The 14,793-nt window shown below is 36.6% G+C and overlaps 1 protein-coding gene across 3 annotated transcripts in view, besides 1 other annotated feature; it reads right to left on the bottom strand.

Annotated features, from left to right (window-relative positions):
* Positions 1 to 14,793, bottom strand: part of ARHGAP24 (Rho GTPase activating protein 24) — a 527,517-nt gene that overhangs the window by 223,869 nt on the left and 288,855 nt on the right. Inside the window, exon 1 of one of the 3 annotated variants that reach the window (XM_047416235.1) lies at positions 228 to 275. The exons of the other annotated variants lie outside the window; for them this stretch is intronic. The gene's annotated coding sequence lies outside the window, so the exon portion shown is untranslated. Of the gene's footprint in view, positions 1 to 227; positions 276 to 14,793 lie in introns of those variants that run through there. 3 annotated transcript variants of the gene reach the window in all.
* Positions 4,472 to 5,012: an enhancer, noted in NCBI's record as "OCT4-NANOG hESC enhancer chr4:86694939-86695479 (GRCh37/hg19 assembly coordinates)". NCBI's record gives its function as "activates a minimal SCP1, AML or CMV promoter by ChIP-STARR-seq in naive H9 embryonic stem cells {active_cell/tissue: H9 hESC(naive)}" and the evidence as "EXISTENCE:reporter gene assay evidence [ECO:0000049][PMID:30033119]".

The raw sequence follows: 14,793 nt of genomic DNA, 5'->3' as shown, positions 1-14,793 counted from the left end.
ATTTAAGTTTTCTTGTAGAAGGGGATATAAACTCTTCCTGTAGCTAATTTTCTTTCTCCTCCTTCTCAGACTTAGTCAGTATCCTCCCATCCCATATATTGAAGAAAGAGACAGAGAGGGGAAAAAAAACCTACAAGGAAATATACCTTAAATAATGTAGTATTTGAGCATTTAGAAACAAAACAAAACAAAATAAGAAATAGGAATCATAGAAAGCTCATCAGGACCTTAAATATAATTTAGCCGGGTGAACCCATTTTGTAGATAAGGGAAGTGAAACCCAGAGAAAAATATGATTTGTATAAGGTCACTCACACGGCTAGTTAGTGCCACAGTTAACAAATAACCAGGTTTCACAACTCCTGCTTCAATGCTTTTTCCACTACACTAACATACCTGAGGGGAAATAGTTTGCCTTTTCCTCTATATCCTTGCATAATAAGCAAAGGAATTGGCAGGGAGCAGTAACACAATTAGGATGTGAGAACTGTCTCAGAGAAAACATTTCCTTTGGATTTAAAATCCTTAATATTGAAACTTTCCCTTTAATCTCCAATTTCTTTGTATATTAGGAAATAATCTTTTCCTTTGCTGATTGTCCAGAATATTTTTACAACTCAGGAGCTGCCATGTTTCAAGGGATGCTAACATTTATTAGTCCTTACAGAGTACTGCTTCAGTAAGGCATGGTGCTGTGACAGGTGGCAGAATAAGTGTTCTACCTAGTATCAGTGATACTACTCCACGGCTCTTAAACTAGACACACATTTGCTATTATCACAAATCCCCACTTTCAATCTATCAAGATTTTTTGAATACACACATTTGGTTTTGATTATTGTTGATTGTATAATTTGTTAAATAAAACAGAGAAGCAACATAACAATTTTCATTGGTGTCTTTCATGTATTTCCTATTTATTGGTGAATAAATTATGTTTTTCTAACTGAAAGAGTGATGTGCTTATTATAATAATTTTTAAAATTACCTTTTTGAAATGTATTCATTCATTCATTCACTTATTTAACAAATATTTATCGAACATTCATAAGATCTATCTCATCCCTCCCACGTGAAATAGTGTAACAGACAAGCAATAGCTTCCTTAGAAAAGTAGGGAATTTTCAAATAAAATCAAAGGGTTTGCATGGGAAGTAAGGTCAATTCTCTATGACTACTTCTGTATTCATTCTCACACTTCAAACATGTGTCCTTGATTTCTTTATATCCTATCGATTGGGTTGCTCCAATCTTAAAACATCCTGCCCAGATCAAGTAAACCAAAATATGAAGTGGCCCACACTGAAATCACTCTGGCCACTATTAATCTTTCCATTTGATCTGGCTCCTTAAATTTTAAAGCAAAATCTTCTTTACACTTTGCAATTCCAAGACACAATGAGAAATGCTCAGATCATTCAAGGCCTATTTTCAAACTGTTACCTATTCTTTAATTCAGAAATGCACTGTTTGGTTTTAATATTTCTCGTCTACTTTTAAGGCATCTACTCTTGCCCTGTTCTTTGGCAGGAAGCAGTATGCTTATGACCAAATAATTATAAAATGTAATTAATATTTAAAATGACAATTAGATTTTCTGGAACACATTTTCCAAAATGTTGAGAAATTAATGGGTATGATAGCACTTTTCTAATGCTGACAAATAAGCAACTGAGATTCAAAACAGAAATGTTGAGAAAGAAATTTTGGAAAACCATGGTTTTTGACACAATGACAGCATCTTATTTTCCTTTTATTCTCATTTGATTATGTCTGTTTGAGCCCTATGCAAAGGTTAAGCAACATTAATATGTCAAATGTGACAAGAGTTGGACACATTGATACATATTACTTGCATTTGCTAAAAATATTCTGTATTTTCCTTTTACTTCTTAAGCTTTACTTTCGATATTGACAGTTTTACCTTTAGTCCATTAGAAAGAGCAGGAAGGAAATATGAGTAAGACCTTGTAAGGTAATAGGCCTTGAGGAGACATAGAGTTTTACATGGAATGAGTCAAGGTGATTCAGAGGGTTAAATGGCTGCAGGAAGGAAGGAAAGAGTGAAGAGAAGTCACAGATTGTTTAGAACAGGAGTGGGCTGAGCCATAGACAATAGATTATGGGTATTGAATTCAAGAACCAAAGTCTCCTAAAATAGGCTAAACAAAGAAGGAACTAGCAATTTTGGTGACCAGTGAAAGCAATAGGAAATTGGCCTTCAAACCTACTTCAAAATCCATGGAATGGCTCATCTCTACCCATTGGAAGGGAAGCATGTGCTGTCAATATGTGATCCAATACAATCTAAAACGGCACAACATTTTTGCAACCATTTTTAAAACTGGTGTTCTGCTCTATTTAGGGTCCTGGGACACACTCCAGGTTGCCCTACTCTGGGAATGCTCTGAATTTCAGAATACTAGTGTAGTTTAGTGGGGAATACTCACTGTATTTTGAAGATTTGCCCTGTGGTGTTGAATTTCACTGATGGAAGAAATATTTCCAGCAGAGGTGAACTCCAGGGCAGGCTATATTAACACAGGCAAGGCAGTCGGAATTCTCTAACTCTTGATCTCCTCCTCTCAGTTTTCAGGTTTATAGTAACACTAGAAGAAGGCTTTTACTAAGAAATCCCAGAGAGCTCTTTGGTGATAGCAGTGAAGGGTAGTGACTGCATGAACAGCTACTAGATTCTAATATTCTATGCTTGGGGGCAGATTTCATGCATGGAAGTTTTTAACAGTTTTAAGAAACTGACACACATAAAAATCTCAAGCATCAACTCTCTTAAGCCAATTCCAGCACATACGTACACCTCTCACAGTTCATTCTCCTCAGAGAACCAGAATCATCATTCCCCTCCTTATACCCATGATTTCTCATCTTTCCCATCATTCCCCTGCTTCACTGTTGAACAATTTCCCATGATTACTCTCCTTCATTCCTTCCAGTGGTTTTCCATTATTCTCTTGCTTTGCATTGTCCAGTGATTTCCCATAATTCCCCTGCTTCAGCCCTACTACAATCTCCCATTGCCCTCAGTATAAATCCAAATGCCTAACCATGGCCTCCTATGTACTACATGATTTAGCTTCAGTTTATCTTTCCTACTGATATGGTTTGGCTGTGTCCCCAACCAAATCTCATCTTGAATTGTAGCTCCATAATTCCCAGGTGTTGTGGGAGGGACCCAGTGGGAGATAACTGAATCATGGGGACAGTTTCCCCCATACTGTTCTCATGGTAGTGAACAAGTCTCACGAGATCTGATGGTTTTATAAGGGGGAACCCCTTTCACTTGGTTCTCATTCTATCTTGCCTGCTGCCATGTAAGATGTGCCTTTAACCTTCCGTCATGATTGTGAGGCCTCCCTAGCCAATGGAACTGTGAGTCCATTAAACCTCTTTTTCTTTATAAATTACCCAGTCTCAGGTAAGTCTTTATCAGCAGCATGAAAATGGACTAATACACCTACCGAATTTCCTAACCTGCTATCACATCTGTGTGGGATGCTCCTCCCTCATATTTTCACAGAATGATCTTCTCATCATTCAGGATGATGCTACCAAATGCCACCTCCTCAGAAAGAAGATTTCCCGACCACTCTGGTTAAGCATCCTCCCACCCACATATACCCTCTATCCCATTTCCCCATTTTAATTTTCTTTCATAGCCCTTTCCATGTCTGAAATGATCTTTTGTTCTTCCTTACTTATTATCCATTTTAGTAGTCAGTTGAACCATGTTTGCTATGTCTCCTCTAGAATAAGTTTTATCAAATCAGAAAGATATCACGATATATAAATAAGATTAGAAACCTAAGATTTAGGCTTTTTGAACCACATTGCTCTTAGTGTTCAGAACAGTATCTAGTATAAAACAGGCATTTGACAAATATTTCTTTAATGAATTAATTATACTTTCTGCATGAGCTACTATTCTTCTGTCAACAAACATCTAACTTAAGTCCATAAACATGAAGGCAAAATCTAATCTACTTCTGCAATTGACTTAACACTGCAAATCTCCCCTTGGCTCCAGCAGCTAGGAATGACAGGAAATGAGGAAAGAGCCCCAGCTGGGCCCTAAGTAGTTGTATCTACATAAGATACCTGTAACCTTTCGAATTGTATTAACACAAAGGCCAGATAATATCTTGACTTGCCAGAATATCGTCTGTGGATATATGTACCTAACTAGATATGTGATTACATTTGCTAGAGGTCCTAAGAGCTTCCGGAAATCTCTTTCATTTCCTGAATGCTGCAGTAGTTTTTCTTATTGAAACAGCAGATAGCCTAGAGCTAATTCTATCCTTTCCAGGTGGTTTTAAGAAGTTGCCCTCACCTGCCAACTCTTGCGAGCAAAGGCTAAATCTTTGCATTTGCAACATATGTTTTCTAAATGAAAAGGAGGGAGACCAAATAATTTTGGAGAGGTGAGCTCAAAGATAATTAAATCTCCCATCCAAGCTCTGCTGCACACTCTTTCAGAGCCCTCCAGTGAGCTGTAAATTAGATTTCCTCTCCTGTCTCATGTCCTACTGCTTCCTAATTACCTGTTCTAGTGAGTCAGCCTCTCTGGGTCCTGGGACTCAAACATATTGTTGGATAATGTGACTGGCTCACTACACTTCAAGTACGGCCACATCAGAGAGGTGGCCATGTGACAGCAAGATAGGGAGAGGGTGATTCTTTGTTAGGAAGAGAATGGCTTTCCCTAAGTGCCATGACAGCCCTCCTTCCAGGACAACCAGGGAGAGGGAATTTCTTGCCTGAGCACTGGTGTCACTCAGAGGCAAATAACTTCATTCAAAGTCATTAAAACAAAAAGTGCTCTTTTCCTATTGTATTGACTATACATTAATCTACATATATAAGTGGCATTTATTTCATTAGTGGATCAAAGCTAAAATATTTATTAATTGTCTCTGTGGACAAGGCCTTGTGCTAGGTTATGAAGTTTTTGTAATAATTTCTTGTTATCTCATTGATGATAATATTTCTTATTCAGAATAGAAATTTCCCCAGGAAAATAAAGTAAAAATTCTTTTCTTCTTCCTTGAATTTATTGACGTGCCTATATTTGTTGAGCCCATATAATGTGCCAAATGCTTGGGTACAAAGAAGAAGACTAACTCTTGCCTCAGAAATGGAGGTGGGAGACATTTACAGACTATTGTGGAGGTAAGCACTGCTTTACAGGAGAGCATGGAAGCAGCAGGGAATCAAGACAGGAAGTAACCAAGGAAGGCTGCCTTGAGGAGATAGAACCAAAATACAATTTGAATGCAGAAGGAGAGGATTAACATTCCAAGTAGGAGATAGAGTACACTTGGGTTACTTCAAGTAGTTATATAGAGCTGGCATGTGGAATGAAAAACCAAGACTGATGGATAAAGTATGCAGAAAGGAAGACAGGCAAAAGCCAGGCTCAGGAATTTGGTTTTTATCCTCAAGGAAATGGGTATCCATTGAAAGATTTTAAATAAGAGATATTATGGTTTTAGAATACTAAGTGAAGAGAAAATTCTGGGACAGGTCGTCTAAAGGACTATGACATTTCTATGTATAAGTAAGATACTGTGATAGTCTGAAATTAGGCATGAAGGACAGAGAGAAAGAGAGAGATGGCCCTAAAGTATATTTTAAAATTACTACAGGTAGGAAGATGTTAGAAGGCAAACTTACTCCAATATCTCCATATAATAATTACAGAAAAATATCAGTGGTATTTTATAAGAATTGATTATGTAAAAGACATTTTTCATACATTCTATTTGCAGACGAGGAAACTGAGGCATATAACTGAAAAGACTGATCGCACAATTTGAAATCACATTCATCTGTCTATGAGGCGCATATACTTTATACTAAACTGCCTGTCTCTTTGAGGGCAGCATACATTTTGGACATTTTCAAAACTTGGACATTGGGTGACTAGACTCAAAGACATTGTTTAGAATATAATTTGGCAATATCTTAGGAAATTTCATGGGCAGAAAATTAGGTTTCCTAGGCATCAGCATGTCCAAATATGAGATTCAATACATAAACAATTGTATTTGCATGGTTTCTATGGAACTACATGTTTAGCTACTTTGCAAAGTACAAATCTTTCATCAAATTCCTCTTGATAATCTAATTATCTTCATGTCTGGAAGACTTATTCACACACTATACTAGGACAGCCAGTGGAAACGAGAATGAAAGTCAACTTGGCAGATACCCTAGTTCCATCAAGTCAAATATTGAGTTTTGAGCTACATGGAGTTTGAAGGCTAACTCAGTTTCAATGAATCTAGGAAGGCAAGAGGTAAAACTAAGACATTGAATACAGAAAGGGGCAGATACAGCTCAAACAAGAGAAAATGCCGAGATTTGTTTTAAAGTTGGAATAGGAAAATTCCTTCTCTAACATATTTTATACCCCCTGTGGATGACCCTATACCTTACTGTCTAAATCTTGACTTTCTGAGAGTAAGAGGAGGCACTGCTGTTAATGACAATTAGATTGGAGATAAAATCCAAGACTCTTACAGGCAAACTTGGACACATGTCACCCTACCTATGAAGTGGGAATTAATACTGACCTAAAGACGATGATAGTATCAAGAACGAGGTCACGGGCTTTAGAGCAACTAGCTCCTAAGTCAGGAGATTCTTACACAATTTGGACACATTGCTCAATAGTCAATAATAAAGGCCAGATTAATAAACTATTTGTAATATTTTATTAATTATTTTAGTGCCACAGTTTATTTTTATTTAAAAATGGTATAGAACAACCAGGCACAGTGGCTCACATCTGTAATCCCAGCACTTTGGCAGGCCAAGGTGGGTGGATCACTTAAGGTCAGGAGTTCAAGACCAGCCTGGTCAACATAATGAAACCCTGTCTCTACTAAAAATATAAAATTAGCTGGGTGTGTTGGTGCGCACCCGTAGTCCCACATACTTGGGAGGCTGAGGCAGGAGAATCACTTGAACCCGGGAGGCAGAGGTTGCAGTAAGCTGGGATTGTGCCACTGCACTCAAGCCTGGGCAACAAAGTGAGACTCCATTTCAAAAAACAAAACAAGGACAAAAACAAACAAACAAAAAAAGAGGTATAGAACAATGCAAAATGTTGAGGCTTCTCTTTTAGAAGACATTCACAGATAATGGGCTGTGATGGTTAATTATATGTGTAAACTTGACTGGGTCTAGTGATGCTCAGATAGCTGGTAAAACATTATTTCTGATTGTGCCTGTGACTGTGTTTCCAGAAGTCGTTAGCCTTCGAATCAGGAGACTGAGTAAAGAAGATGGCCCTCACCTATGTGAGTGGGCATAATGCAATCTGCCGAGGACATGAATAGAACAACAGGCAGAGGAAGGGTGAATTTACTTTGTCTGCTTTTGCTGGGACATTTATTTTCTCCTCTCAGACATTGGTACAACTGGTTCTCAGGCCCTCAGACTCAGACTGGGATTTACACCATTGGGTCCTCTGGTTCTCAGGCCTTCAGGCTTAGACTGGAACTATACCACTAGGTTTCCTGGGCTTTCAGCCTACAGAAGTTCATGGAACTTCTTAGCCACCATAATCATGTGAGCCAATCCCTCATAAGAAATCTCCTTCTATATATCTATATATCTCCTTTTGGTTTTGTTTCTCTAAAGAAGTCTGACTAATACACAGATATAGTGTGTAGTCTCCCATATAAAAGAACATATTTGCAAACACCATGGCTATGAAATATAAAGCTATTGGTAGTAGATGGGGACCCCCAAGCTATTTTGATTATTTAAAAAATAAGCACAGGCTTTATTTCTTCATTGTGTTCAATGTAACCATTAGTAAGTCAATATTAATGAACACCCAACTAAATCAAATCTCAGTTCACTCTCCTGCCCCACTCCTGCAACGTTCTCTGAGGTGAGGACATTCTTATATGGAAAGTTTCCTTACTGGGTTAGGCCAAGGTGAGGATGGGCACAGTGTGGAAAGCAAACATTCCCAGGTACAAACAGGAGAGATCAGCCAAAATTAATTAGGTTTCCAAACTTGGTTCTGTCAGCAACTAGCTGTTTGACCTTGGCCAAAACATTTCACTTTACAGAGACTTTGTTTTCTCCTATATAAAATAAGGGGATTTAGTAAGATTACTCTGAAGGTTCTTTCAGATGTGAAATTCAACTATTCTCTGAGATAATTATCTCCCGTATGTTTTAAATTTGCTGAAGGTTTATCCATCTTTGAGGATTGAGAGGATATCTGTTGTATTATAAAGAAATTAAAACAGGCAGTTATTGACAAAATAACTGTAATGGTAACAACAATAATTATTTCTAAGACTCCCAAGAAAACAAACCTAGGAAGTAGGGAGACATTTATTTTGTGAACAATAGGAGGACTATTGGAATTTTCTTAGGTGAGAAAGCATTGGATATAAAATGTGATACCATACTATGCTGAATAATTTTTAAATATTAAGCTTACTTGGGCTCCCAAACACACTGAGGATTAAGATTCTTGAGTTTATACAGAAGAAGATTTCTTCCAGAAGTGTAATTCCCCTACACTGTCATTTTTACAATAAGAGTGAATCCACATTTACAAGGTAGAATGTTGGAAATGAATAGAGGAGGCCCTTCCTTGGTCTGTATTCTTTGACAAGTTCCTAGACACACAAATGTGGTTCAGAAAATAATGAAAATAAATTGTCCATCAGTGCTGGGCTATTGGCCAATCCCAAGCTTCAGTGCAACCAAATATAAGAAAGTTGGACTATTTCCTTACATTTATTTTAATTCCTCTTCAATGGAAAGCAATATACATAAGTATATAAGTATATCATGTAAAATTTAAAGTTCCTACCCTTTCTACCCTCACCAATACTATTCTTAAGGATTAACCACTACTGGCCAGGCGCGGTGGCTCATGCCTGTAATCCCACCACTTTGGGAGGCCAAGGTGGGCAAATCACGAGGTCAAGAGTTCAAGACCAGCCTGGCTAACATGGTGAAACCCCGTCTCTACTAAAAATACAAAAAATTAGCTGGGCGTAGTGGCGGGCGCCTGTAATCCCAGCTACTTGGGATGCTGAGGCAGGAGAATCGCTTGCCCGGTGACAGAGTGAGACTCTGTTTAAAAAAAAAAGAAAAAAGAAAAGAAAGGAAGAAAGAAAAAAAGGATTAACCACTACTAACAATTTACTGTGTATCCATCGAGATATCAAGCTATCAATATCTATCCATATATATGTATAATTATACACACATATGTATATACACAAATGGGTTTTTGGAAAGAAAACATTATCTTTCTTTATTCCATTTTTTGCCATATTTACTAAACTTGTTGACATTTAAAAACAAGCAAACAAGCAACACAATAAATGTGTCTTCTTTTCCCACAAAAAAAATCTCCATCCTTAAACCCTCAGATTTAACTGTAAAACTTATCAGATGGTTAAGAAAAACAAGTGCAATGATACATTACTAAGAGTCAAGATGCTTGGCAAAATGACTACCTAATAAATGTTTACTGATTTGAATGAATGGATGAATCACACCAATGACCCTAATCTCATTAACCTGGGAGAAACTGCTAGGAAATAACCACATGTGAACTGACTTCCTTCATATCCATTCCTCTTTTTATCAAGTATTCAATCATCGCTTTTTTGAATGTCTTTTAATCACCGTTTTTTTCATAAGGATATGACTATTTCTAATATGAATACTATATTTTTCATCATCACTATTTGACCATTAAGCAATAAAAAGATCCTCATCCTTCATCATAAATTAGGCTCTGCAGTGTCTCTGTTATCATTCCAATCAACATTTGTGGGGTCTATTAATCCCAGTATCTTTGTTGAATTTACCTTATCTGAGACTAAGATATGTTAATATGTTTGATGTCAGTTTAATTTTTAGGTCCAGCAGGAGACCCTGAAAGGATAGAGGAGAAATTTTTCTCCCCTACACAAGTGATCTCATCTTTAGTTGTGTCTATCATTTTTTTTTTCAGATGGAATCTCACTCTGTTGCCCACGCTGGAGTGCAGTGGCACGATCTCAGCTCACTGCAACCTCTGCCTCCTGGGTTCAAGCGATTCTCCTACCTCAGCCTCTTAAGTAGCTGGGATACAGGCGTGCGCCACCACACCCGGCTAATTTTTGTATTTTTACAGGTGCGCGCCACCATGCCCGGCTAATTTTTGTGTTTTTAGTAGAGACAGGGTTTCACCATGTTGGTCAGGCTGGCCTTGAACTCCTGACCTCATGATCCACCTGCCTCAGCCTTTCAAAGTGCTGGGATTACAGGCCTGAGCCACCACGCCCAGCTATCATTCTTGATTTTATTTGTTAGATTTGAAAAGGCTTTTTTTCAGATTTTAATTTGCCTGCTCAACTCAGAAGCATTCTTTTCCTGCTGTATTATCACTCTGTCTTTGAGCTCATATATACTGATTTTATGGTTTCCTTAAGTCCTTATACAATGCACAGCATTGGGTACTTGTGGACGACTTTAGATTTTCACATTTTTTTAAATCCAATCTTTAGATTTTGAATAAAAAAATAAATCAAACTGTTACTTGCCATGCTATTTTCATTCACTCTCATCTTTCTTTTTAATTATTTTATTTTTATTGCTAACATTTTGCTATAACATGTTTGCAAGTTGTCACGCCAATTTATTTCTCTTTTCTCATGGTCAACACAGCAGCCGCATATAAACAGTCTATTTTTGTTCTGAGACTGTGAGGGCCAGTCTCTTTGACACCTTTCCCACCTTGGTAAAACACTGTTTATCTTTCAGAATGCCTCAAGATTTTCAAGTTTAGAGCAATTCCTTTCCCCAACAACCATTTCCAAAGGCCAAGCTATAAACAGAAGTTAATAGTGTACGCATTGTAGCATTATATATACAAACATGCACTCTATTCCCCAGTTTACACATCAGGATCATTTGGCAGACAAAAACAGGGTAACAGAGTTTAACTCTCACCAAGAATGTCATAGTTTGCTAAGAGCCTTTCTCTCTGCAATCATACATGATCCTTGTTAACATCAGCTAGAAAATATTCTGTTCTACCATGACTATAATATGCTACTGAAAATTTAAAACATTGTTTCTTTTTCTTTAATAATTTGCCCCTTTGGGGTAATCTATATGCCAAAGAACAGGTATCATTTTTCTTTTTCCTCCCTCCCAGGTACTCAGTTTGCTTTTGTTGTTGCTGTTGGGATGCTCTGTTCAAGTTTCCAGTGTTTATGGCTCATACAGACAACCCCTCTTCCTCTTCCACAGCAATTCCATAAAGCATGCTGTAATTTTAGGGTATGTAATAAAGGTGATGAAGCATTCACATGTGAATGTGTGAGGTGTATGTATGTCTCTCTGTGTGTATATATGTGTATGATGGTGACATAATACATACATAACCAACTACATCTAAAAAAGACATGTCCATATAAAAATGGTCAGTTGGCAGCAGTGCAATCTGGAGAGACATTTAAGTTTACTTATAATCAAAACATTAAAATATTATTACCTGAAGACTTCAGCTAGGAAGAATAAACACACATCATTTGCAACTATGGTCATACATTGCTTAACAATGGGGATGCATTATAATAAATGCAATTAGGCCACTTTACATTGTGTGAATGTTGCAGAGTATATTTATACAAACTTAGATAGTATAGCCTACTACACACGTGGGTTATGTGGTATAATCTATTGCTTCTAGTCTACAAACCTGTATAGCACTGTACTGAATACTGTAGGCAGTTGTAACACAATGGTAAATACTGTGTATCCAAACATATCTAAACATTGAAAAGACATAGTAAAAATACGGTATTATAATCTTATGGGAACAGTATCATATATGCAGTTTGTTGTTGACCAAAACATTGTTATGCAGTGCATGACTGTATTTGCTAAATATTAAAATTGTGAGAGTTTTTGTTTGACTCTGAGGAGGAGTGAAAGGCAGGTGAACCCAGTATAGTTTGTGGTTCTCAAGTTAGAGCTAGTAAATGACCTTAGTGATTTATTCTCAAGTGGGAAGCACTTGGCATAAAAGGGGAATTTTATATTTCCTCCTATTTATGCTTTCACCTCAGCAGATTTTTCATCTGTTTTTTTACATGCTGTTTTGTTGTTCACTGTCTTTAGTCTCCAAGGAACATGTGCATATTCTGCCAATAGATGTGGGGTCGTATTAGTCTTTAACATGCATAGGAATCACCTGGAAATCTGCTTAAACATGCAGATTCTGATTATGGCTCCAGGGTAGAGATCCAAGAATTTGAATTTCTAACAAGTTCCCAAGTGTTGCTGCTAGTGAATGGCAAAGATCTGGACACTAATAACCTAAAAAGAATAGTTCAATTTTAAAAACCTAGAGATGCTATGGCAGCTGAAGAGCAAGGAATTATTTTCATGTGTTAAGTTGCAAGACCTCTATGTAAGTACAGAAAATTCTCGACTCTTCTTTTAATATTGTTATGATTGTCTCCTTCTCTATCTTTTCTTTTTTATGTGCCAGTTTCTCTGATTGCCAGTCCCCGTACCCCATCTCTACTTCCTTCATCTATATAGAGAAGAATGGTTCAATCACAATATTCAGGATTAGGAAATAGGGTCATGATTTTGATGACTTTTCCTCCCCGGGCTCTAAATATTCTGATTTTGTATCACCTTGTTGATATTACCTTAGGCTGAAAGCAGATTGTGAAGTACAAGAAATCTGACTAATGATTAAGTGCAGTGGATAAACAGTTTCAAAATTTGTACCCCGTAATTCATAAGGGTGAAAATAAAATAAATTCCTGCTGGCAAAAAAATTTACAAAAAATCTAACAACACCCCAAAGCAAAAAACAACTATGCAATTGAGTGTAAATTTATTGTTCCTCGGCTTTCAGCCTTTATAACCAAAGAACTGTGCTGTATGTGAGATCTCGTGTTTTAAAATAGAGTGGGTATCACTGATTTTTATAAATGTACTTTTCATAGGAAAAGCTGGTCTCTGTCTTTGAAACCTAGAATTAGGGAGTATTTTTTCCATTTTCATGATAAACACTCATATCCATTCTTACTATTGCCATTACTTTCCATGGTTATTTTGTTACTTTTTATCCCTCTGAAACTTCAAGTAAGTAGTAATTTTTTATCTAATTATATTCTTTCTTAATATACCAGAAGCTTGTAAAGAGTAGTATATGCCTACAACTCTCTATTTAAACTACTATCATGCTTGGAGATGTAAGAAAATATATAAACCCTTTTCATGACTAATTATTTTTCCATATCACCCCCAAAATCTTTTTTATTACATGGACCTTAGTGAATCTTTCAACTCATTTTCCTTAGTGCTTATTGGGTAAACATTAATCATTCATCTTGAATCCATAGATCACACCTACATGCTCTAAGCTTAGTGTATGAATCAGTTAAAACAAAAACGTTTTAATGCCACTTGCAGGTGTGCTCTAATATTCTACTCACTGCACAATCCAATTCACAAACCATAAAATTATTTTCAAGTCAGGCTTACCATATTACGTTAAAACATACAATTTTAAGCAATAGCTACCTTTCACAAAACACACCTTTTTTTGTAGCATATCTAGTGTATTCAGCTGAAGAGTTTACTTTCATTTAAATATTAGTTTCAGGAATTAAAATGTAAAGTTTGATTCTTAGGCTAAATCATTCACTTAAAAAGTCAAACAAATGTTCCACTTCTATTGCATGGAAGCAGACACAGACAAACCTCAAAGTTAATATGCCATTTGGGCCAAAAATCTCTAGATAAGGTAAAAATCTCTAGATCTTCTCTATGATAACATATGCCTTTCAAGGGGCAAGGAACAAGTATACTGGTTTGTTTAAACATAAACACAGGCAGAATTAGTATAAACTTTCTGAATTGCAAATGCTAATAAGTAGTTGTATAATGAGAGATCTTTGAGAATTACAGTAACGAAGAGGAGATCTACTTAAGCCATACCAAAATTATTAATATAGAATGCCTCTTTCTTTCCTTGTGAGCATTCAGAAAGTGATCCCTCACCCAAATAGCTTTTGTTCATAGAAACAAAAGTCAGAAAATGTCCTTGGTTTCTCCTCTGTATTCACTGCTGGTAAAAAAAAACAATTACTCTGGGGGCTGAAGAAAAGGGGAGGAATGGACCTCCTGTTTCTGTAAACAGCTCAACACTAACAAAATCTCACATCTTGCTTCTCAATCAATACCAAGCTCAGTGGTTAAAAGAGCTGCATCAAACCTGTGTTTTATCTGGTTAATGATATCAATAAAGGTTATCTCTACAAAGAATGAAAAGGTCACTAATCAAATTGCAGTGACTCCATCACATTAATATTGCTTGGGAATGCGTTTTATTGATTGTTTAGTATTCCTGTGTAGAATCCCCTTCCTTTTAACGCATTGATGATAGCAGGGGAGAACAACAGTAAAATGTTGCCACACGAGAGCCCTCACACTATAGCAGATAGAAAAGCAGATCCCTTCAGCATCTCTCTTTATGATAATAAATTTAAAATTGAGTATGAAGAGGTAAAAATAAAAATTGGAGAAAAGAAAATTTGGCTTAGAGATTTCTTGGTGGTAAAAGGAAACCATCAATAAATTCTTCCAGAAACTCTCATTGTTAGTAAACTCCTTGGTATTCAGCATGACATGTGATGCTAAATTATACATATGTATATTTGAAAATCTACTTTCTTACAGATCTTACATTTTTTGGGAGAGATGGAAAATTAA

This window comes from Homo sapiens, chromosome 4 (genome assembly GCF_000001405.40).
Source record: "Homo sapiens chromosome 4, GRCh38.p14 Primary Assembly".
Classification (NCBI taxonomy): domain Eukaryota; kingdom Metazoa; phylum Chordata; class Mammalia; order Primates; family Hominidae; genus Homo; species Homo sapiens.
This window is presented reverse-complemented; position numbering and strand designations above follow the sequence as displayed.